The sequence below is a fragment of the Homo sapiens genome, chromosome 1 (assembly GCF_000001405.40).
Source record: "Homo sapiens chromosome 1, GRCh38.p14 Primary Assembly".
Taxonomy (NCBI): Eukaryota; Metazoa; Chordata; class Mammalia; order Primates; family Hominidae; genus Homo; species Homo sapiens.
In genome coordinates, this window is record NC_000001.11 from 2,221,046 (window position 1) to 2,242,466 (window position 21,421).

At 59.7% G+C, this 21,421-nt stretch overlaps 1 protein-coding gene across 4 annotated transcripts in view, besides 10 other annotated features; it reads left to right on the top strand.

The window, feature by feature from the left end:
- Positions 3,340-3,840: an enhancer, noted in NCBI's record as "H3K4me1 hESC enhancer chr1:2155824-2156324 (GRCh37/hg19 assembly coordinates)". NCBI's record gives its function as "activates a minimal SCP1, AML or CMV promoter by ChIP-STARR-seq in naive H9 embryonic stem cells {active_cell/tissue: H9 hESC(naive)}" and the evidence as "EXISTENCE:reporter gene assay evidence [ECO:0000049][PMID:30033119]".
- Positions 5,195-6,015: an enhancer, noted in NCBI's record as "H3K27ac-H3K4me1 hESC enhancer chr1:2157679-2158499 (GRCh37/hg19 assembly coordinates)". NCBI's record gives its function as "activates a minimal SCP1, AML or CMV promoter by ChIP-STARR-seq in primed H9 embryonic stem cells {active_cell/tissue: H9 hESC(primed)}" and the evidence as "EXISTENCE:reporter gene assay evidence [ECO:0000049][PMID:30033119]".
- Positions 6,335-7,104: a silencer, noted in NCBI's record as "silent region_108". NCBI's record gives its function as "represses an Ori minimal core promoter by ATAC-STARR-seq in GM12878 lymphoblastoid cells {active_cell/tissue: GM12878}" and the evidence as "EXISTENCE:reporter gene assay evidence [ECO:0000049][PMID:35858748]".
- SKI (SKI proto-oncogene) overlaps positions 7,274-21,421 on the top strand; it is an 81,895-nt gene continuing 67,747 nt past the window's right edge. For 2 of the 4 annotated variants that reach the window (XM_005244775.4, NM_003036.4), the window contains exon 1: positions 7,274-8,690. In XM_005244775.4, coding sequence (XP_005244832.1) covers positions 7,722-8,690 — 969 coding nt within the window. In that variant the 5' untranslated portion in view covers positions 7,274-7,721. Of the gene's footprint in view, positions 8,691-10,398; positions 19,748-21,421 lie in introns of those variants that run through there. The other 2 variants (XM_005244776.5, XM_047428466.1) reach the window with 1 other exon arrangement.
- Positions 9,845-10,506: an enhancer, noted in NCBI's record as "H3K27ac-H3K4me1 hESC enhancer chr1:2162329-2162990 (GRCh37/hg19 assembly coordinates)". NCBI's record gives its function as "activates a minimal SCP1, AML or CMV promoter by ChIP-STARR-seq in naive and primed H9 embryonic stem cells {active_cell/tissue: H9 hESC(naive and primed)}" and the evidence as "EXISTENCE:reporter gene assay evidence [ECO:0000049][PMID:30033119]".
- Positions 10,153-10,202: an enhancer, noted in NCBI's record as "active region_48". NCBI's record gives its function as "activates an Ori minimal core promoter by ATAC-STARR-seq in GM12878 lymphoblastoid cells {active_cell/tissue: GM12878}" and the evidence as "EXISTENCE:reporter gene assay evidence [ECO:0000049][PMID:35858748]".
- Positions 13,280-13,419: an enhancer, noted in NCBI's record as "active region_49". NCBI's record gives its function as "activates an Ori minimal core promoter by ATAC-STARR-seq in GM12878 lymphoblastoid cells {active_cell/tissue: GM12878}" and the evidence as "EXISTENCE:reporter gene assay evidence [ECO:0000049][PMID:35858748]".
- Positions 13,520-13,699: an enhancer, noted in NCBI's record as "active region_50". NCBI's record gives its function as "activates an Ori minimal core promoter by ATAC-STARR-seq in GM12878 lymphoblastoid cells {active_cell/tissue: GM12878}" and the evidence as "EXISTENCE:reporter gene assay evidence [ECO:0000049][PMID:35858748]".
- Positions 15,137-16,049: an enhancer, noted in NCBI's record as "H3K4me1 hESC enhancer chr1:2167621-2168533 (GRCh37/hg19 assembly coordinates)". NCBI's record gives its function as "activates a minimal SCP1, AML or CMV promoter by ChIP-STARR-seq in primed H9 embryonic stem cells {active_cell/tissue: H9 hESC(primed)}" and the evidence as "EXISTENCE:reporter gene assay evidence [ECO:0000049][PMID:30033119]".
- Positions 16,050-16,962: an enhancer, noted in NCBI's record as "H3K4me1 hESC enhancer chr1:2168534-2169446 (GRCh37/hg19 assembly coordinates)". NCBI's record gives its function as "activates a minimal SCP1, AML or CMV promoter by ChIP-STARR-seq in primed H9 embryonic stem cells {active_cell/tissue: H9 hESC(primed)}" and the evidence as "EXISTENCE:reporter gene assay evidence [ECO:0000049][PMID:30033119]".
- Positions 19,703-20,615: an enhancer, noted in NCBI's record as "H3K27ac-H3K4me1 hESC enhancer chr1:2172187-2173099 (GRCh37/hg19 assembly coordinates)". NCBI's record gives its function as "activates a minimal SCP1, AML or CMV promoter by ChIP-STARR-seq in primed H9 embryonic stem cells {active_cell/tissue: H9 hESC(primed)}" and the evidence as "EXISTENCE:reporter gene assay evidence [ECO:0000049][PMID:30033119]".

The following is a 21,421-nucleotide window of genomic DNA, read 5'->3' on the forward strand; positions in this document are numbered from 1 at the left end:
TGACTGTTCTTTGAAGCTTCCAGGCCAGGCCTTTTGGAGACGGTTCCCTGTGTGGCTTTGTCTGAGATGTCATCACAGAGAGACACAGGTTGTGCATCTTTGGCAGGAAAGGAGCAGATGTGACACTGTGGTCTGCTCACCCCACCCTGTCAGGTGGGGCAGGACTCTGATGGATCCAGTATCAATGGAGCCCACCGCGATCGCTCGGTTAAGGTGGGGTCTGTGTCTCCGCTGGAACTGACATTCTTTTTCCCTTTGTGACAAATTAGCATTTTGTGGGGAAGATTCCTCCCTCCCTCCCTCGTTCCTCCCTCTCTCCCCCTCTCTTTTTTAGAGACAGGGTCTCACTCTGTTGTCCTGGCTGAAGTGCACTGATGCTATCCTAGCTCACTGCAGCCTCGGACTCCTTGGCTCAACCAATCCTCCTTCCTCAGCTTCCTGAGTTGCTGGGACCACAGGTGCATGCCATCATGCATAGCTACTTTTTGTTATTGTTGTTGTTTGTTTTATTTTTGAGACAGGGTCTTGCTCTGTTGCCCAGGCTGGCATGTAGTGGCAACATGACAGCTCACTGCAGCCTTGACCTCCTGGGCTCAAGTGATCCTCCTGTCTCAGTCTCTCAAGTATCTGGGACTACAGGCCTGCACCACCACACTTAGCTGATTTTTAAATTTTTTTAGAAGTAGGGTCTCTATGTTGCCCAGGCTGGTCACGAACTCCTGGGCTCAAGCAGCCGTTCCACCTTGGCCTCCCCAGAAGTGCTGGGATTACAGGCATGAGCCACCATGCCCAGCTGATACGTTTAAAATATGCAAATAGCTCTTTTTAAATTTTCAATTCATTAATATATTTTAATAAATATTAAAATATGTATAGACATATGCTTTCCTATTTTATTTGATAATTATAACTCATTACTATCATTACCATCTATTAATATCATTATTCTGTCTGATTTGGCAAACAGGCCGTGACTCAGTGCCCTCTCCATGTGACCCGGTGTGCCTTATGTCTTGTCGTTACTCTCTCTCCCTTCCCAGCCCTGGGGTCAGCCATCTCTTTTTTTTTTTTTTTTTTTTTTTTGGTGGACTTTTCCCTCTTGTTGCCCAGGCTAGAGTGCATGGCGTGATCTCGGCTCACCGCAACCTCTGCCTCCCAGGTTCAAGTGATTCTCCTGCCTCAGCCTCCTGAGTAGCTGGGATTACAGGCATGTACCACCACACCCGGCTAATTTTGTATTTTTAGTAGAGACGGGGTTTCACCATGTTGGCCAGGCTGGTCTTGAACTCCCAACCTCAGGTGATTCGCCCGCCATAGCCTCCCAAAGTGCTGGGATTACAGGCGTGAGCCACCGCGCCCGGCCTGGGTCAGCCATCTCTTTAAAGAACTCCAGTTCCTGGTCGGGCGCAGTGGCTCCCGCCTGTAATCCCAGCACTTTGGGAGGCTGAGGTGGGCAGATCACAAGGTCAGGAGATCGAGACCATCCTGGCTAACACGGTGAAACCCCGTCTCTGCTAAAAATACAAAAAATTAGCCGGCGTGGTGGCGGGTGCCTGTAGTCCCAGCTACTTGGGAGGCTGAGGTAGGAGGATCGCTTGAACCTAGGAGGCAGAGGTTGCAGCGAGCCGAAATCGTGCCACTGCACTCCAGCCTGGGCGACAGAGCGAGACTCCATCTCAAAAACACAAACAAAAACACTTTGGTTCCCTTCAGTGAATGAAAATTGGGAGCCAAGACTGGGCTTCCTGGTGCGCTCACTACTGCTGAGGGGTCCCTCGTCTTGGTGGGCAGAGTGAGGGCTGATGTTTATACAAAACACATTTACATCAACAGTTTTCTTTATAAATATGGACATTTATGAGATCATGCAGGTATCAATAATTCCAATCCAACACCACATGCTTCCTTCCTCCCTTTCTGTATTTTAACATCGAGAAACCTGACTCTTGCTACCTTAAACTCATTTCCTGATTGGATCAACCCCCCCACTCCAGTGCTTGTCCCTCACTCCCTTGCGCTCTGGCCAGGGCAGCCCCTGGGATGGCTCTGAGCCCTGGGTTCTGCCCTGAGGATTCAGCTCCAGGTGCCCAGCGGTAAGAGGCTTTGCAGATCCCTCTTTAGGGCCCGGCTTCCCCTCCCCCGCTCACTTGCTCTGACCCTTTCCTGTGCTTCCTTGGATCGCCTCCCAAGCAAAGCACTCGAACTCAAATCTTTGTCTTGGCTGGGCGCGGTGGCTCACACCTGTAATCCCAGCACTTTGGGAGGCTGAGGGGAGGAGCGCTTGAGTTCAGGAGTTTGAGACCAACCTGGGCAACATAGTGAGATCTCATCTCTATAAATAAAAAATTAAATAAAAGGCCAGGCACAGTGGCTCACGCCTGTAATCTCAGCACTTTGGAAGGCCAAGGCGGGCGGATCACCTGAGGTCAGGAGTTTGAGACCAGCCTGGCCAACATGGTGAAACCCCGTCTCTACTAAAAATACAAAAATTAGCCTGGTGTGATGGCGCATGTCTGTAATCCCAGCTACTCGGGAGGCTGAGGCATGAGAATCACTTGAATGCAGGAGGCTGAGGCTGCAGTGAGCCGAGATCGTGCCATTGCACTCTAGCCTGGATGACAAAGCGAAGACTCTGTCTCAAAAATAAAGTAATAAAATAAAATAAAGTAAAATAAAAATCTTTGTCTCAGGGCCTATGTTTGGGGGAATCCAAAGTAAGACAAAGGTCTTTCTAAAATTTCTACTGGCCGGGCACGGTGGCATAGCCTGTAATCCCAGCACTTTGGGAGGCTGAGGCAGGTGGACCACCTGAGGTCAGGAGTTCAAGACCAGCCTGGCCAACATAGTGAAACCCTGTCTCTACTAAAAATACAAAATATTAGCTGGGCATGGTGGCAGGCGCCTGTAATCCCAGTTACTCGGGAGGCTGAGGCAGGAGAATCGCTTGAACCTGGGAGATGGACGTTGCAGTGAGCTGAGATCGCACCATTGCACTCCAACCTGGGCAACAAGAGCGAAACTTCATCTCAAACAAAAACAAAAACAAAACAAAATTATACGAAGCTGATGTTACTTGAGCAATTTTTATTTTCACATTTGAAGGTTTCTTTCCCAGTAACTGAGCATGTTTTTGCCAATGGCAGTCTATGCCTGGCTGCTACAAGGCCTTCCTTCTGCTTCCTGAGGAGGAGAGAGTGGGTGGCAGCAGGGCAGGGCAAGGCAGGGTGGAGCAGAGCTGGTCTGCGATGCATTTCCCCACCAAGGTTTCCAAGTTCCCCCAAAGCTTGGGGTACCCCTTGCTTTGCCAGTGTCTTCCTCTTTCTGGTCCTGGGGCGCCATCCAACTCATCTCCACACTGCTGGCTCCTTAAGGTGGGGGTCTCAACTCCAAGGCCAGCCTCCCAGGAGGCCCTCCCTGCCTACAGCCAGCCCCAGCCACTCCGCGCCTTTTGGGGATCTGAAAGATCTCGCTCCCGTACTAGCAGGTTTGTTGATTGACTGTTGTCTCTCACACCAGAATGGAACCACACGGGGTACAACCTGGTCTCCTTACCCTGATCCCAGTGTCTACAGTGGTAGGAGCTCATCGAACAAGGGGACAAACTCATGACTAGCTGACCAAGCCTGTCACCGTGGTAGGGGCCAGGGAGAAAGCTGGGAGGTCCCTGCCTTTGCCCGCATGCCAGGGCTTCTCTGGGCAGGCACCACGTCCATCCCACCCTACTCCGCGCTGTGGCTGTGCCTGCAGCCTTAACCCGCGGCCTGCCAGTATGGTGGCCCGCGTGGGCGACTGGCCTGGGCAGCTGCTGGGCGGGGCTGGAGGGTGGAAGGCCAGCAGGCGGGAGACACCCCCCACCCTCTTCCCTGCCAAGCTCAGGAAGAAAAGTGGACCCTGGTGGCTCCCTCTAGGCGTGGCTGCTCTGACCCTTGGTGGGGTGGGTGCCTTCCTCTGGAAGCTCTGACATATTGGGGGAAGGAAGTCTCAAGAGTCCACAAAGGTGGAGGTAGCTTCAGAGACCAACTGGAGGCCCTCACCTGTCCCCGCACCTTCACTCCATGGCACACCTATGGCTACTTCCCAGGGGTCCGCACTCTGGACAAAGTGTTGGTCCCTGGCTAGGACCCTGCAAAGCCAGAGGCACAGAAGGAAGCAGAGGCTCTGGGTGGGCACTGCCCATGCTAGGGGCCCTGCACAGAGCCCCTGGTCCACCAGAGGAGCCAGAGGAATTCTCTGCTTGATTGGAGACACTTCCCAGCAGGCCTGGCTGCAACCACCTTCTCTGAGTTACAATTTGACTGAGTTGTATGGAATTCAAATCCAGATGGAAGGAAGTGACAACGTCAAGTGCAACACTAGCTGTGTTTTGTCCAAAACGTGGGCCAACGAAACTATCTCCAGGAAAACAAATAAGTCCCTTTTCTATTTTTTTTTTTTTTTTTTTTGAGACAGAGTCTCACTCCATCGCCCAGGCTGGAGTGCAGTGGTGCAGTCTCAGCTCACTGCAATCTCCACCTGCCAGGTTCAAGCGATTCTCCTGCCTCAGCCTCCCGAGTAGCTGGGATTACAGGCATGTGCCACCATGCCCGGCTGATTTTTGTATATTTAGTAGAGAGGGGGTTTCACCATGTTGGCCAGGCTGGTCTCCAACTCCTGATCTCAAATAATCCACCCGCCTCAGCCTCTCAAAGTGGTGGGATTACAGGCGTGAGCCCCTGCGTCTGGACTGAATATCCTTTTTTTTTTTTTAGACGGAGTCTCGCTCTGTCGCCCAGGCTGGGGTGCAGTGGCGCAGTCTCGGCTCACTGCAAGCTCCGCCTCCCAGGTTCACGCCATTCTCCTGCCTCAGCCTCCTGAGTAGCTGGGACTACAGGCGCCCACCACCACGCCCAGCTAATTTTTTGCATTTTTAGTGGAGACGGGGTTTCACCGTTAGCCAGGATGGTCTCGATCTCCTGACCTCGTGATCCGCCTGCCTCGGCCTCCCAAAGTGCTGGGATTACAGGCATGAGCCACTGAGGCTGACCCTTTTTTTTTTTTTGAGACAGGGTCTGTCTCAAAAAAAGGGTGTGTCCCTATCACCCAGGATGGAGTGCAGAGGCTCAAGCACGGCTCCCCGCAGCCCCAACCTTCTGGGCTCAAGCAATCTTCCCACCTCAGCTTCTCAAGTAGCTGAGACCACAGGTGCAGGCCACCATGCCCGGCTAATTAAAAAAAAAAATTATTTTTTGTAGACAGGGTCTCACTATATCGCCCAGGCTAGTCTTGAACTCCTGGGCTCAAGCGATGCGCCTGCCTTATCTTCCCAAAGTGCTGGGATTACAGGCGTGAGCCACCTTGCCGGGTTAAATATCACTTTTAAGGAAATGATCTTCTTACCCAGCTTTCTGGTGTGTGAACACACAGAGAAAGCCTGGCCTCCAATTGTGGGGGCCAACGGAGTGAATGGGAAGAGTCGGGGGACAGTGTGGAGTGTGAGGACAAGGAGACAACCCCCAAGGCAGCGGAGAGAGGGAGTATGGAGCCGCCCTGGGGTCACCTACAGGTAGGTCCTGGCTGCCTCTCTAGACACCTGCCCTGCCGCAGGTCCGGCCAAGACCTGCACAGGGACTCCGGGCCGGCTCCCCCAGGATAGGAACTGCGCCCAGGAGTGCTGGTTTGAGGCAGGTTCCAGCCTCCACTGGGGAAGTGAGGGGCAGGAGGTCCCAGCTGAAGGTCACTCAGGTTGCAGCGGCGTGGCCCTCTCGCCTCCGCCCAGCACCCAGGCCAGCTTGGGCACCCCCGGCCCGTGGGGCATGTCCCTCCGCCTCAGGCGAGCACAGACCGAGCCCTGCCCCTCCCCAAACACACCATTGCGTCCCTGCGCCCGCAGGCCTCGCTGGAAGCTGCCTCCCCTGGAGACCACCCGGCCGACTGTCCAACTTCGGGGCCCCGGGCTTCCCGCTCCCCGCCCTGCCAAGGCTTGAGTCTCTCCCACTGCGTGGCCAGGCGTGGAGGGCCGGCCGATCCGACCCCGAAAGACGTCTCAGCGCTCCACGGCCCCGGGGCGGAGGTCAGGGGTCTCGCCGGCCCGAACGCCGGGCCCCGCGGGGCCGAAGTCCTGATAAGCCACCTGGCAGGAGTGGCTGGCAGACCGGCTGCGTCTGGGGCACCGGGCGCCGCCCCTCCCAGGCCCGAAGCCCCCGGCCCGCGCAGCAGGGACACTCCGCCAGGGGCCGGCGGGCGGGGCGGGGCCGGCGCGGCCGGGAGCCGCGGACACTCGGCCACCGAGCCACCGGCCACGGCGCAGCGGGGGCCGCCGGGCTGCGCCGCCAGGGTCACGCGACGCGGTGCCCGTCTCGGCGCAGGGTCCCTGGGCGTGGCCGCTGTCCCCCTCGTGTGTGGGACCCCAGGTCACCGTGTGGCGTCCCGGTAGTGTGTGGGACCCCAGAGGCGTCCGGGGCCTCCCCGCTGTGTGGTGTCCCACCCTGGGAGAACCCCGGGTGCGTGGCGTGGCCCCCCGGCCGCCCCCAGCTGGTTTGCGGTCGTGGCGGGGGCCTGTGGGTTTCTGGGCCCCGACGGCGGCGAGACGGGCGCCTTCCCAGCGGCGCAGGAAGCGGCCTCGGCCGGAAGGGGGGCCCCGGGCGCCACCGCCGCCTCCGCCTCCGCCCGCGCCCAGCGGCCCTCGGCGGGCGGGGCCGAGCGGGGCCGAGCGGAGTCGAGCATGGCCGAGCGTAGCCGAGTCCCGGCCGAGCGGAGCCGAGTCATGGCAGGGCGGGTCCGAGCGTGGCCGAGTCCCGGGCGAGCGGAGCCGAGCGCGGCCGAGTCCGGGCGGGGAGCGCGCGTTCCTGGAAGAGCCCGGCTGGGGAGCGGGTCACATTCTTGGCCAGCGCTAGGGCTGAGGCGGACGCACGGCAACAAACAGCGCGGGGGGCGGGGCCGGCGCGGGGCGGAGCGGGCGGCGCGGGGCGGGGCGGCGCGGCGGCGGCGTGAGCTCAGCGCCGGGCGCTCAGTCCGAGCCGGAGCGAGCCGCCGGGAGGATGTGCGCCGAGCGCCCCGAGCCCCGCGCCGCCGCCGCGCTCTGAGGGCCGCGGGCGAGAGGCGCCTCCGCCGCCCCGGAAGCCGGGCGGGCGGGCCGCGGAGCCGGCGGGCGGGCGGGCCGGGGGCCGGCGGCGGGCGCGACGCGGCCGGCCAGCGCCGCCGGGACGAGCCGGGCGGGCGCCTCGCGGTGGGAGGAGCGGGGCGGCGGCGGCGCGCCGCGCGAGGACGGCCCGGCGGGCCCCGCGCCCGCGCCCCCGCTCCTCCCGGGCCCCTCGGCCTCGGCCGCCGCGGCGATTCGCGCCTCGCGGCGCCGGCACCTGCCCGCGCGCCCCCCGCGAGCCCCGGGCCCGCGAGCGTTGGCGTTGGCGTTGGCGGCGCGCGCCGGGGCATGCCCCGCGCCTAGAGCCCGGGGGGCGCGCGGGGGACGCGCGGGGGGCCCGGGCGGCGGCGGGCGCGGCGCGGGGCGCGTGGATGTGGCGCCGGGCCCGGGCGGCGGCGGGCTCCAGCGGCGGGACCCCTTCGCCCCGCCCGCCTTCCCCTTCGCGCCCCCGGGCGAGGCCGCGGCCGTGATCGGCCGTGAGCCGGCGGCGGGGGGCGGCCGGGGTCGGGGCCGCGGGCGCCGCCGGGGCGCGCGGGGCGGCGGCGGGGGCCGGGGGGGCCCGGGCGCGCGGGAGCGGGAGCGGCCGGGGGAGCCGGAGCGCACCATGGAGGCGGCGGCAGGCGGCCGCGGCTGTTTCCAGCCGCACCCGGGGCTGCAGAAGACGCTGGAGCAGTTCCACCTGAGCTCCATGAGCTCGCTGGGCGGCCCGGCCGCTTTCTCGGCGCGCTGGGCGCAGGAGGCCTACAAGAAGGAGAGCGCCAAGGAGGCGGGCGCGGCCGCGGTGCCGGCGCCGGTGCCCGCAGCCACCGAGCCGCCGCCCGTGCTGCACCTGCCCGCCATCCAGCCGCCGCCGCCCGTGCTGCCCGGGCCCTTCTTCATGCCGTCCGACCGCTCCACCGAGCGCTGCGAGACCGTACTGGAAGGCGAGACCATCTCGTGCTTCGTGGTGGGAGGCGAGAAGCGCCTGTGTCTGCCGCAGATTCTCAACTCGGTGCTGCGCGACTTCTCGCTGCAGCAGATCAACGCGGTGTGCGACGAGCTCCACATCTACTGCTCGCGCTGCACGGCCGACCAGCTGGAGATCCTCAAAGTCATGGGCATCCTGCCCTTCTCGGCGCCCTCGTGCGGGCTCATCACCAAGACGGACGCCGAGCGCCTGTGCAACGCGCTGCTCTACGGCGGCGCCTACCCGCCGCCCTGCAAGAAGGAGCTGGCCGCCAGCCTGGCGCTGGGCCTGGAGCTCAGCGAGCGCAGCGTCCGCGTGTACCACGAGTGCTTCGGCAAGTGTAAGGGGCTGCTGGTGCCCGAGCTCTACAGCAGCCCGAGCGCCGCCTGCATCCAGTGCCTGGACTGCCGCCTCATGTACCCGCCGCACAAGTTCGTGGTGCACTCGCACAAGGCCCTGGAGAACCGGACCTGCCACTGGGGCTTCGACTCGGCCAACTGGCGGGCCTACATCCTGCTGAGCCAGGATTACACGGGCAAGGAGGAGCAGGCGCGCCTCGGCCGCTGCCTGGACGACGTGAAGGAGAAATTCGACTATGGCAACAAGTACAAGCGGCGGGTGCCCCGGGTGAGTGGCCCCAGGCCTGGGAGCTGGGGAGGATGCGCTTGGGGTGGGGGCCCCTTCTGGACTACAGGCTCTGGTCTCCGAAGGCTGGGACCTGTGCTTCTGCCGTGCCCCATGTCTCCAGTCTTCGCTTTGTTTTAGGGAAATTCAGAGTGTTCCGACTGGCAGGGCCAGAGAGTTTGGTAGGAAGGCCCTCCTGCCCGTTCCCCAGGACGAGCCTGGAGTGCGGGCTGTGGCGGTGGGGTGGGGGGCCAGGCCTGGTGTGTGGGGAAGGCCCGCAGGCCCACAGGCATTGCCCAGATAGGAAGGCACAGGCCTCATGCTCCCGAGAAAGCGGCCTGCCCCAGGTCAGGGAAGTTAGGTCCAGCTGGGCCACGGCCCGGATGCCTCAGGCCCAGGTCTTTCTTGGGGTTGGGGTGAAGGTGGCTGTCCTCGCCCCGAAGGCACCCAGCCTCGAAGACGGAGGGCTGCCTGCCTTTGGGCCCCAGGAGACAGAGCTTGGGTGAGGCGAGGCCTGGTTTTGTTACTGGCTCCCGCTCCCTGTTTGGTGCCTTGAAGTTTTGGGACACAGACACAAAATGAAGCCAGGTGTCCAGGCTTCAGTGGCAGGGGCCCGAGACTTGGCGGCTCCAGCACTGTGCTGGTTGGTCTCCCTGGGCCTGCCAGGGACCAAATCCCAGAGTCCGCCGTGTGGGGTGAGGGCCATTTGGCACCCGGCTGAGGGGCCTGGTCAGCAGGCTCCTGGGCCCGCGTGCTGGAGTTACTGGCGGCCTGCGATTTGCTTTGGACTCACCCATTTCCTTCTCTCCCTCTGAAACGCAGAGGGGTGCGCCGGAGAGGGAGGCTGCTGGCCTGGCTTTGTTGTTTGCCAGTTGGAGGATCTATGGGATCCGGCATGGGCAGCTCCCAGGCCACGAGGTGCCGAAATTACTCAGTGGGGTCCTCAGGAACTTTCCGTTGCGTACCTCCCCAAGTATTTGTAACTTTTCTTTTAAATATCCAGGCTTATTAAATTGCACACACAGAATGCTGCATTGGCTCAGCTATTCTTGGGAGGCCTAATTAATTCAGCTATTGCATCAAACTTTTTTTTTCTAAATCTGTGAATAGATGCTCCAGCCCGGTTTTCTCTGGGCGCCCCTCCAGCAGAGTGTCAGATCGTGGGGAGGAGGGGCTGTGGATGGAAGCGAGGGACTGTCGCCTCTGCTCGGAGGGGGCTGCGGAGGGTGCATGTGTGTGTGCATGTGTGTGTTTGTGTGTGCGCGCTTCTGACCCTGCCAGGCCAGGGCTCAGGTGGCAGCCGCCTGCAGACCTGTGGGCTGGGGAAGGATGCTCGTGGCAGAGCTGCAGACAGACGTAGCAGGCTGGGGCCCTTCGTGTCACACGGGGAGTTGGTTGGGGTGGGCCCGATGGCGCTCCCTGTGGGCTGGGGCCTTTCTTTTTGGGGTGGCCGCACCCTCGTCAGTGCCTGTGGCTGGAGGAAGCCACATGTCGGGGGGGATTGTGGGCTCGTGCAGGCTGCGTAGTGGGTCACCTGTGGCCAAGGCCTGAGCTGCTGGGACACGCTCACGTCACTGTCTTCAGAGCTGATGGCAGAGGATCTCGGTTGAGCAGGGTGTGTCTGCGTTTGTTTTTGTCCGACTGTGGGTCATGTGTGTGCTTGTGGTCTTTCTGTCTTCCTGGGCTTTGCTGGGGGCCCATTGGAGTGGCCAGTGGGGCCTCGTTGTCACAGCTGACACAGAGCAGGGCCCAGGCCACCCGGCTTCTCTCTCCCTGTGGTTGTGAGCGCCGGGGTCCTTGGGCCGCCATAGAGACAGGCCAGACAGGCTCTGGTCATCTCAGCGGATGCCTCCGAGCCGCCTTTCCCTTTTGAAGTCCCCAGCACTGCTCTGAAATTTCATTTACCGATTAAAAAGCAATTCCCAGGCCATACTGACGACGTGCACGGTGTGAGTGACTGCGTCCTCTAGGCCTGAGTGGCAGCCACACAGCCTGGCCCTGGCAGTGGTGTCCTCCGCCTGGCTCCCTGAATGTTCACCAGCTCCTGCGGGTTTTCCTCTCCTCATGCTCCTGGGGGTGGGGCACCCATCCTGCCCGTGTTGCCTCCTGCTCTATGTTCTTGACGTGGGATGGCGGCCAGGGACTCTGCCCTCGCTCAGTGCCTGCCCTTTAGGCTCTGTGACTGTGCACTTGGGAGTTCTGGGCTTCAGGGTCCCCTTAAGTCTCCTCAGGACAGCCGTGTGCGTGTCTCTGTGTGCACAGGAGCGACACATGAGAAGGGAGTGTGGTCTCAGGGTGGGCGTGGACCCACAGTGCCCAGACCCTACTTGTCCTAGAAGGAGTGGCCTGGGAGGCCCCGCCTCCGCCCTCACTGGCCGCCGTTGGCTCCTCCCACTCGTGTCTTGACAGCTTATTCTCGGGATATGTTTTGATTTCTTCACTTCCTTTGTAGCTTATTTTAATATTTTTGATCTGCCGAAGATGAGGGCAGAACAAAGAATGTACTGGAACTCTCTTTGCAGGGCTGCTGCTCCCAGCAGGCCTTCGGGCTCTGCGGAGCCGGAGGGGGCTGAATTGCCTTCCGGGTGTTTGTGGCCAGGCCAGGGTCGGGTCTCCTGCCTGAGTGGGCTGGGTCAGCGCCACTCTCCTACCCATGGTGGGAGGTGGGAGAGGGCGGAGATGTTCCCGGGTCCCAAACCAAGTGGGAGGCAGGGCTGCAGCTTTCTCCTTGGAAGCCTCCTGTGACAGCGGCTGTGCCTGAGCCTCTGGCCTGTCGGCAGTGCAGTGGCAGCATGAGGGGCAGACAGTCTTCCTCCAGATGCCCCCTCATGTCACGGGGTTACAGAGGAAGCCTCCGCTTCTGTCCAGTGGCTGTCGGGCCCGGCCAGCTTCCTGCTGCTGTATCTTGGAAGACCATGTGGGCTGCATGGGTGCTTGGCGAGTCTCCTCTTAGGGACCCTGGGGCTGCTATCCTTGACAGGGGACCTTGTCTCACCTCCCCACTCGGTCCCACACTGGCTTTGTGACCTTGGACGAGTTGCTTAACCTCTCTGCCTCAGTGTAAACTGGGGACTACTGTTTATTGATCTTGGACTTTATGTTTTGAGTGGTACAGGTGGGGCACAGATGGGTCATTGTGCTGCTGGGAGCACTTAGCCAAGACTGGAGCCTCTGAGCCTTCCCCACTCCCACCCCTCTTTCTTCTTTCCGGTCGGCTCGCCTCCTTCCTCGGGTTCTCTGATAGCTGTAGGACTCCATTGGACTACATTTTTTTGTCAGTATAGACAGCTGTCAGAGACGGAGACAAAATGTGGCAGTTGGAGCTGCCGCTTGGCCTGCTGCCTGGGACGCGGCCCCTTGTCCCGCAGAACGTCAGCCAAGCGCTTTCCGTGCAGGCTGATAACAGGGTGGTGCCGTGCTTCCCTTGGGCCGTGGCAGGATCCTGCTCCAAGGGGGGGTCCTGCTCCGAGGGGGCCGGGGTTTCTGTTCCAACAGGGCTGGTGGGGGGGGTCCTGTTCCCAGAGGTCCGGGATCCTGTTCTGAGGGGGCCAGGGTCCTGTTCTGGGCCGGGGGTCCTGCTCCGAGGGGGCCGGGCGTCCTGTTCCTAGGGGCGGTGGGCTGCCTGTGTGAGAGCTGTTCTTCACCTGCCACGTGCAGTCTGGGCATTCTGGTGACTGGAGAATTTGGGTTGTGTTACAGTGTTGTTGCTCTGTCCTGCAGATGCCTGAATTCCCAGGGGTCTTGCAGGTCCCCTTGCCCTTGCGCTGTGTGGGCTGGCGTGGGTCTCAGTGGGCTGTGGGTTGAGGGTCGCTTGGTTGGGAAGCTCTGCGCGCTTCCCAGTGGAGGGTCCGCGACGGGGGTTTTCTGATCCCTCATGCTGGCTTTTGACCCGTGTCACTGCAAGGCTGCCCCTGGCCCCAGGCAGCGTTTCTTCAGGCAGGTGCCCAGCCAGGTGGTCGGGCTTGAGACCTTTGAGTCTCGAGGTCTGTTCTGGGGAATGACTGAGCTTGTGGAGGCCAGGAAGGGGTTGCTGGGCTTGGAGAGCCTCTGGGGAGGAGTTGTGTTTTGCTCTTTGCTGTTTTAAGCTGAAATGATCACAGGAAGGGACAGCATCAAGAGTTTCTTTCTGGGACACCCCTCACTCAGCTCAGCGGCCGTGTGTGGGTTTGGGGCTGTGCTCTCCCAGACACCCTCAGGTCCGGGGAGCACTTCGGGGGCTATCTGTCCCTTTGTCCACCAGCTTCCTTTGGAAAAAGTGTTTGCTGCAAGTGTTTTTCTCCAGCTTTTCGTGGGGTTCCCTGTAGTCTTGGGCCATGCTCTGGGGTCAGGCTCCCGGCAGGCCCTGGTCCCCGTGCAGAAGGCCAGGGTCTGCGGGTTTGGGCTGGTCTGCCCCCCAGGTGAGGGTTCCGGAAAGACGGCCGGCTGCTGAGTCTTCTCAAGCAGGGGAAACAGCAGCTCGAGAGTGGTTCTTGACCTCTGCCCACCCCAGCTGGCTGTGCACGGACTGGGGAGGGCATGGGCAGCTGCCCCCAGGTGGCTTCTGCAGGGAGCAGAGCTTAGTGGTCATTTTCCCGGCATGGTCTGTCATCCGTCTGTCTGGGACCCCTCTGGGAGCTGGGCTGGGTCCCTCGCCTTCTGGGGCAGCAGGGTCACGGTGGGGGGGCTAGTCCTCTCTTTCAGCATCTTGTTTCTCAGCCGTCCCTGCGGCTATTTGTGCAATGTCTGTCTGTCTGAGTCTCCGGGTGAGGGCAGACAGGATATGGTGCGAGGAAGTCTGGGGTAAGTGTGAGCCGAACCCCGCCCTGGAGTCTCTCGGGGTTGTGGGGCCACAGCCCCAGCTTAGGTTAGGCCTTCACTGCTGCTGGCAGGGCCTCCAGAGAGAAGGCGGTGGTTCCGGGGCCTGGGCCCTGACTGTCTGGCAGGAGGTGTCCACGCCGGCGGCCCGGCTCTCTGTGGCAATAATGTGTCTCTTTCTAAGGATTGCGAAAGTTGAGGGAGGATTTCTCCACTGGAAGAATTATGCAAGCTTCAACTGAAATGTTTTTAAAAAGTTTCTTTGTTTTGAGTCAAAATACAGAAGGTGAATTATTTCCCTAATATCTGGGAGAGCTGGAAAAGAAGGCCCCTGTCCTTATTCTTCAGGGCTCTTCCCCTCCTGAGCAGTGGTCACCAGGCCAGGGTGTCATGGAGGGGGGGCTGCCTGGGGACCAGCTCTTTACACCTGGCCTCCAGAGCGGGTGGTAGGGCGGCTCCTTCCTGCCCTGCCCTGGCTGTCACCCTCGTGGTCTGGAGCAGGGTTTTTTTTTGTTGTTATTTTTTTTTTTTTTTGAGACAGGGTCTGTTTCTGTTGCCCAGGCTGGAGTGCAGTGGTGCGATCTTGGCTCACTGCAGCCTCCGTCTCCTGGGTTCAAGCGATTCTCCTGCCCCAGCCTCCTGGTAGCTGGGATTACAGATGTGTGCCACCACACCCAAGTAATTTTTTTGTATTTTTAGTAGAGATGGGGTTTCACCATGTTGGCCAGCCTGGTCTCGAACTCCTGACCTCAAGTTATCTGCCCACCTTGGCCTCCCAGAGTGCTGGGATTACAGGCATAAGCCACTGTGCCTGGCCCCTGGAGTGGGTTCTGCCACGGAAGGCATCCCCGGGGTCTGCGGGCTGGAGGGGTCGCCCCCACTGTGCCACCTGTTCTCTCGAGGCCTGGTTGCCCTCTGCAGACCAGGTGCCATGCCAGGTGACCCTCAGGAAGCTCTGGCTCACCCCGGGGGCTGGGGGGCATGATAAGCGATAGCTCTTAGGTGCTGCTGCTTTGTGAATATGAGAGAGTTCCAGAAGGGCCCCGCTTCCCAGAGCCTGCATGTTGGTTTCACTGTGTGGTACTTGATATTTTTCCAGGCTGCCTTGCTGGGGTGGCCTCGATGGGGGGCCCAGGGAGCCTCCAGCTCTGGGGACATGCTGCCACATGAGCCTGCTTATTTACGAAAATGAAGAACCAGGACTTGAGTGTGAATTTTAAATGAGATTGTGGGGACAATAGTAAAATCCAGACTAGGACCAGATGGACTGAGCACCTGCGTTGGCCATGGCCCGGAGGTGGCGTGGTGGTGCCTGGCGCCTGTGGCCCTCAGCATGTGTCCTGCCGGCCGCCTAGTAGGCCTTCGCTTGAAGTGCTTATTCCTTTGAGTAATGCTCCTGTCTTTTGTTTGGGGGGAAACAGATAAAGGGGGCTTTGAGAGGCGTCTCGGCGTGATCCTGGGAAACGGCCGAGATTCTGTTCGGTGCTTGGTGTTCGTGTCTTCTCTGATTTTACCTTTTTGACTCATAAAGATGGAAGGAGTGCTCTGCCTCGGTGCCTCTGCAGCTGCAGATGCTGAATCGGGGCGTTTAGGCCTGCCTCTTGGGCTGGCACACCTGGCGGCCTTGGTCAGGCCTTCTTGGGCTGCCTCTGCTGGGGTGCTTGTCTCACTGGCCGTGGGGGTTGTTGCCTGTGTGGTTGTGTTGCTGGCTTCAGGGGCTAGGGTTAGGGACGCCTGGTCACGTCTGGGTCCCCAGTTTGGGGGCCAGATTCAATAACTCACTGAATGACTCAGTGGAACTCTGCAGGCACTGGCAGTCAAGGTTTATTGGCAGGTCCATTCTTTGGCTAGAAGGAGAATGCTGTTTCTTTTCTCACTGTTTCACCATTTTTTTTTTTGAGATGGAGTCTTGCTCTGTTGCCCAGGCTGGAGTGCAGTGGCGTGATCTCGGCTCACTGCAACCTCAGCCTCCCGGGTTCAAGCAATTCCCCTGCCTCAGCCTCCTGAGCAGCTGGGACTACAGGTGCGTGCCACCACGCCTGGCTAATTTTTTGTATTTTAGTAGAGACGGGGTTTTACCATGTTGGCCAGGATGGTCTCCATCTCCTGACCTCTTGATCTGCCCACCTCGGCCTCCCAAAGTGTTGGGATTACAGGCATGAGCCATTGCGCCTGGCCATTGTTCCACCTTTGGAAGAAATTGGTTCACCGTCTTCTGACCTGGGGGGCGCTTCTACCCTGGTTCCATATTGAGGGCTGGGAAGTTGCTGGAATATTATTACCCTTGGCTGGTGAGGCTGAGTGCTGATGCTCCTCCCAGCTCTCAGCCCTGCCTGGACCAACTGCGGCTTCTGCTGGAACGTCGGCGGCTGACTTAGAAAGAAACAGCTCCTGTTCTAGGCTTCCTGCAGGTCCCACGGTGCTGCTTGTTTCAGAGAAACGCAGCTCAGGCTGGCGGCCTCAGGTGGGCATGGGTGGCAGGGGATGCCATCACCCAAATCAGGGATCTTTCTCTGTCCTGAGGGTTCCACCCCAGGACCCAGGGCACTAACTGGGTTCTTGTGTGGCCCTTCCCGACCAGACCTGACCCCTGAGCTGCGTGTGTGAGGTGATGGTGACTCCACGACAGCTTGTGTGCCGTTATGGGGGCACCTGAGGACTGGCTGACCTCACCGGGAAGTGCGTCAGGAGTGGGTGAGGGGTGGTGGGAGGGCAGGGAGCGCCCAGCAGGTGTCCAGCGGTGCTGGCGCTGCCTCTGTCTCTCTGTCCACGCCCTGTGTGTATCTGGAGTGGCTTAGGTGCTCCCTGCGGTGCTCCTGGCTGCTGTGGTTCCTGAAGGCTGCGGCTGTGCCGGTGGTTTCCTTTGATGTCAGTCTTCTTCTACAGGGGAAACCATGTTGCCAGGAGAGCCAGGTGTCCGCTAATTACGTTGTGTTGTTCTGCCCAGGAGTGAACCTGTAAGTGATGAGAATAAGAAGCGGCTGTCAGCCTGCAGACCCGCCCTCACCCTGTCCTGGTTGGGGTGCTGCCTGCTGGGAACCCCTGGTCCAGCTGTTGAGAGGAGGCTGACTGGGGGCACAGTTGTTGCAGAGTCTGATGCAGGCTTTCTCTGCCGGGAAAGTAACATGGAAACATTGTTGCTTTTACTATGGAGCAGATGTATCTTTGCCCAGAAACAGAAATGCTCTTGGTTTCTTTTTTTGGAAATAAGGCCCATAGGCTGGGTCCTTCTTGCCCTGTTGAGGGAACGTGTCTGTCCTTAGCGTGGAGGCCAGTCTGGCCGGGTGCTGAGCTCGTCCTGCAGAACACGCGTGAACGCCTCATCCCTGAGGGCCCCGGGAGGCTGGCGCCCTCTGTGGGAGGTCTGAGGTTGGCCCATTTGACCCTATCCAGGACGGGTTACTTAAGGAGTCCAACGGGCCTTGAGAGGCTGATCACCCTCGTGTGGCGGGCGTCTCTCCCCGGTGCCCTCCCGCCTGGTGCTGTCAAGGGCTTCTCTGTGCCAGGCGCTGGGCTGTGGCAGCCCCAGGTCCCCGCCTGGTGTGGCTGCCCACGGTCCAGGCAGCTCCAGGGTGGGCATCCTTGGCTCCCTCCCTCACCAGCTGGCCCTGGGAGGTCTGTCTGAGAGGAGTTAGGCCTCATTGTCCGTGCTCAGAGAACCCGAGCCTTCCTTAGGAAGCAGTTTGTCCCCGTGCCTCCCTTCAGGATCCTGTGGCCTGAGAAGCCTCTGCGTGGCAGTGGATGGCAGCTCCAGCTGCCCGTGGCCCTCTTTTTTTATGGTTTCCCAGATGACTGGGCCAAGCTGGGCCTCTGCATCCTAGGCATGCTGTTCCCTGCGCTTCCCTGGAAGGTCGGCGGCCCTGCGTGGACCTACACGGTACCCAGGACAGGCCTGCCATGGCACCGGTTGGGCCTCTGGGCACAGGGTGCTCTGCCTCCATGGCCCTGACAGGCTCTGATGCCTGAGGATGGGGGCCGGGCACTCCCAGCCTTGAGACTTCCCTCTGCAGAGGTGGCACAAGCCCGGGGCCCCAGAGTGAGGGGACTCTTGCCTGCCTGGTGAGGGTGAGCGTGGGGTCTGGACTCTGACCCCTGGTCCAGGCGGGAGAGGAGCACACTGGACAGGGCAGCCGAGCCACCCTCTGCGGAGCTGTGGACACTGCGTGTGTGGTGCTGAAGGTGTACACGTCCACTGAGGCCACCTGCGCCGCTGCCTGTGTCCTGTGGGCTGGCACTCACCGAGTGAGAGCTGTGTGCAGAACCTCCGCTGTCAGCGGGCCAGGCCACACTGGGGAGGGAGGTATTCCGTGTGCTTGCACTGAAGCCTGCCCCAGGCTGCCTTCTGGGTTAGGGATACCCAGGACCTCCATAGCTGGTGTGGCGTCTGTGAGATCTCAGCTGCTGCTTCCCTGGACGCCCGTGTGGACCTGGAGGGGGGTGGGGACCCGGCCTGGCATGGTCCCTGGCCACCTGCCTGGTGCTCCGGGTTGTGCCGTTGGCAGTGCCTTCGCTCTGCCTCACCTGCTGCCTCCGCCTTTCCTGGCTACAACCCTGTTGCCCAAACCATTAAAAAAATTATACTACCAAGTTGAATGATATGCAAATGTAGTCAATTAAGCGAGGGGATTTTAATTAGCAGTTTAAGTTCATGTGTGAAGTGCCTTGCCTTAATTACTTGACAGTTTTGTTGTAAATTTGCTAAGTTTTTTTTTGCAGAACTATCAAAACTGTGATTTTTGTTAACATTCTTGGATGCGGTGAGTGGCGCCCAGCTTGCCTGACCCTAGTGGGTTTTGTCTTAATTTATAAAGCTCTTTAAACTGTGAAAACAAGGTAAACCCCCTGGGTTGCCTCTGTGTGGCTCTTCGAGTCAAGCCGGGCTCGATGTCTTCCTTGTCACTGGCTGGGGTGGGGACCTGCCTCGTGCGTGGTCTTGAGCTCCCGTTGGGGGAACGGGAGAACCTTCATCCCATGTGGGTGTAGCCGTTGGCGGCACCTTTGTACGGGGACACACCCTGGACCTGAATGGAGTCAGGAAGGGTTTCAACCTGGATGGCCCGCGTGCCGGGGACCCGCAAGGTGTGCAGTGGCAAGGGCCGGTCCTGGTGGCGGGCTCCCTGGTGATGCTGGTGGATGGTTGTGCGTGGGCCTTGGGGTTCACAGTTCAGTTTGGGAGAGGCGAGAACCCCTCACTTTGAAGTCTTTCCTGGCCAACGGGAGGCTTCTCAGAGCAGCTTTCACGGCTCCGGGGCTGAGTGAGGCCTGTGTCTAGGCTCATCCTGCCCTCCGGGGCGTCCCAGTGTGCCTGGGCAGTGGCGCAGCTGGCTCCTTCCACTGGGTTTAGGTGTGCTTCTGCTCCCCACTGCTGCTTCAGCTGCGTCCTTTGCGGGTCCCCGTAACTTCAGTGCCCCCACCCCTGTTCGGTTCCCTGACTGAGCTCGGCGCCTCTAGTGTAGATGGGTTTTTAATTTTCCCAGCTGAACGTCGTTATTTGGATTGTGATTTCTTTGGTGTTTCAATGGACTGTAGATGAAGGAGGACCTGTTTTCTCTCAGGAGTGTCTGTGGGGTCTCTTGTCCTGGTTTGCTCAGTGAAGTGTGGCCCCAAGGGCTGAGGGAGGTGGCCAGGACCCCGCAGGGTGGCCCCCACCACAGAGGCTGCTGTCCTCCGGGTTCTTCTCCACTTTCTGGGACCTTGGCCGAGGAGGCCTCTGGGAGGGTGAAATGGCCACAGGCCTGGAGAAGCGACACCGGTGGGAAGCCACCGGCAGAGAAGTCAGGGAGGAGGGAGTCCTGGGCCTGGAGGAACGTGGGAGGGGCAGGCGCCTCCTAGCAGCCTCAAGAAATGTGGGCCAGGCAGGTCTGGCTACGGGCAGGAGTGTGTCTGGGACTCTGAACTGCCAGAAGCACTTGGCGGCAAGCCACATGCTGTCACAATGTTGCCTGGCCCCCATGAGGAGGTCCCGTGGGTGGTGGCGGGTGGTGGCTGGTTGTGGGGCAAGGCTGCGGGACTGGGACCGCTGGCTTCCTGGGGCCATCGAGGCTCCCAGAAGAAGAAATCAAGAGGATTTTAAGAAGCAGAGTTCTCTTTAGCCCGAAGTAACCATACAGCATTAACAAGAAAACTTGGAATTCTTCGAAGTGAAGCTCTCTCTACTTGTTCGGAGGATGGAGGACAGTTCTAGATCCAGGAGAGCGGTGGCGCAGACACGGACTTCACCCTTGGTGGGAGGGGAGAAGCACAGCATCCTGTTGTTCGTGAGTCAGGTGAGAGGCGCGAGAAACCACAGCTCTTAGGAAAATCCGTGCTGCCCAGTGTGGGGGCCGTCCACAGCCCTTCGGCACTGCTGGGGAAGTGGCCCTGCGTCGACCCCAATCCTCCTCAGCTGTGTTCAGCCCCTGAGATGCCCTGGGCTCCCTGGTTGAGCTTTGGTGGGTAACTGCAGGATGCACACAGGAGCTGCAGGCGAGGGCTTTGTAGGAGCTCTGTGGCCGCCCCACATCCCTGGCCTCTGCCATTTTCTGCCTAAACGTTGACACATGGAAGAGGGAGCCCAGGATGCTGTGGGCCCAGAAGGTGGGGCCCTGCGGGCTCCATCACTTCACTCCAGGGCACAGAGGGCCCAGGGTCCCCTCACACTTGCCTGTGGGGACCAGTGGGAACAATTCTCATTTTACTGTCATTATGAACTTGCGGCTTAAATATGTCTGTGGACTTCAAAGTGCCATCCTGTGTGGAAAATTTCCAGCTTTCACTGAAGTAGAGAGATTAGCTCAATGCACCCCATGTATCCCGTTCACCAGTTATCCACAGCTCACTCATTTTGTTTCATCCAACTCCCTCTCCTATTTTGAGGGGGAGGGATTGTAATTTTTTTTTTCTTTGAGACTGAGTCCTGCTCTGTCGCCCAGGCTATAGTGCAGTGCTGCGATCTCCGCTCACTGCAAGCTCTGTCTCCCGGGTTCACGCCATTCTCCTGCCTCAGCCTCCCGAGTAGCTGGGACTACAGGTGCCCGCCACCGTGCCCGGCTAATTTTTTTGTGTTTTTAGTAGAGACGGGGTTTTACCGTTTTAGCCAGGATGGTCTCGATCTCCTGACCTCGCGATCCGCCCGCCTCGGCCTCCCAAAGTGCTAGGATTACAGGTGTGAGCCACTGCGCCCGGCCAGGACTGTAATTTTTTGAAGCAAATCCCAGGCATCATCTTATTTCATATTTAAGTGTTTCAATATCCACATCTAAGGAATATGGAATCATAAAAAACGCTCACCATGACCCATTACCTTGCCTAACAAAGCTGAGGGCAATTTCCGGACACCAGCCCATGTTCAGGTCCTTCCTGTCTCAGAAGTGTTTTCCTGCTGCTTTTCGGGACCCAGGGACAGCACTGCGTGCGATGGATGGGTCTTCCGTGCATGCCTGTCTGTGTGTGTGTGTGTGTGTGTGCCTGTGTGTGCCTGTGTGTACGTGTGTGGTGCTGTGATGGGCTGTGGGGACAGTCCCGCGTGCTGACCTGAGCCTGGCAGAGTCAATATCTTGTTGGGAGGCAGCAGGCCAGGAGAGAGCGGAGCTGGTTGGAGGAGGGCCAGCCTCCCCACCTAGAGACCGTCGGTGACCTTCCTCATGTGATGCGTCCCTTGGTGTGGCCCCCAGCCGCTAGTGGTGAACCTCTGTAAATGTATGTGAACACTTCCCGTGCATGTCTAGTCAGGAGAGTAATCAGAGAAGCAATTGGTATGTGCTCATCAAAGAACCCCAGAACAGCCGAGAAGAGTGCAGAGGGTAACCCCTTCTCTGTCTTTGTTCTTGGTGGGTTGGGGGAGAAGTACAGTGTCCTGTTTGTTCACGTCAGGGGAGAGGCAGGAATGTACCACATCTCTGTCGCTGGAAACGTGGGAAGCCGGGATGTGGCCTACCGTGGCCCCTTCTGGCCCCGCAGGG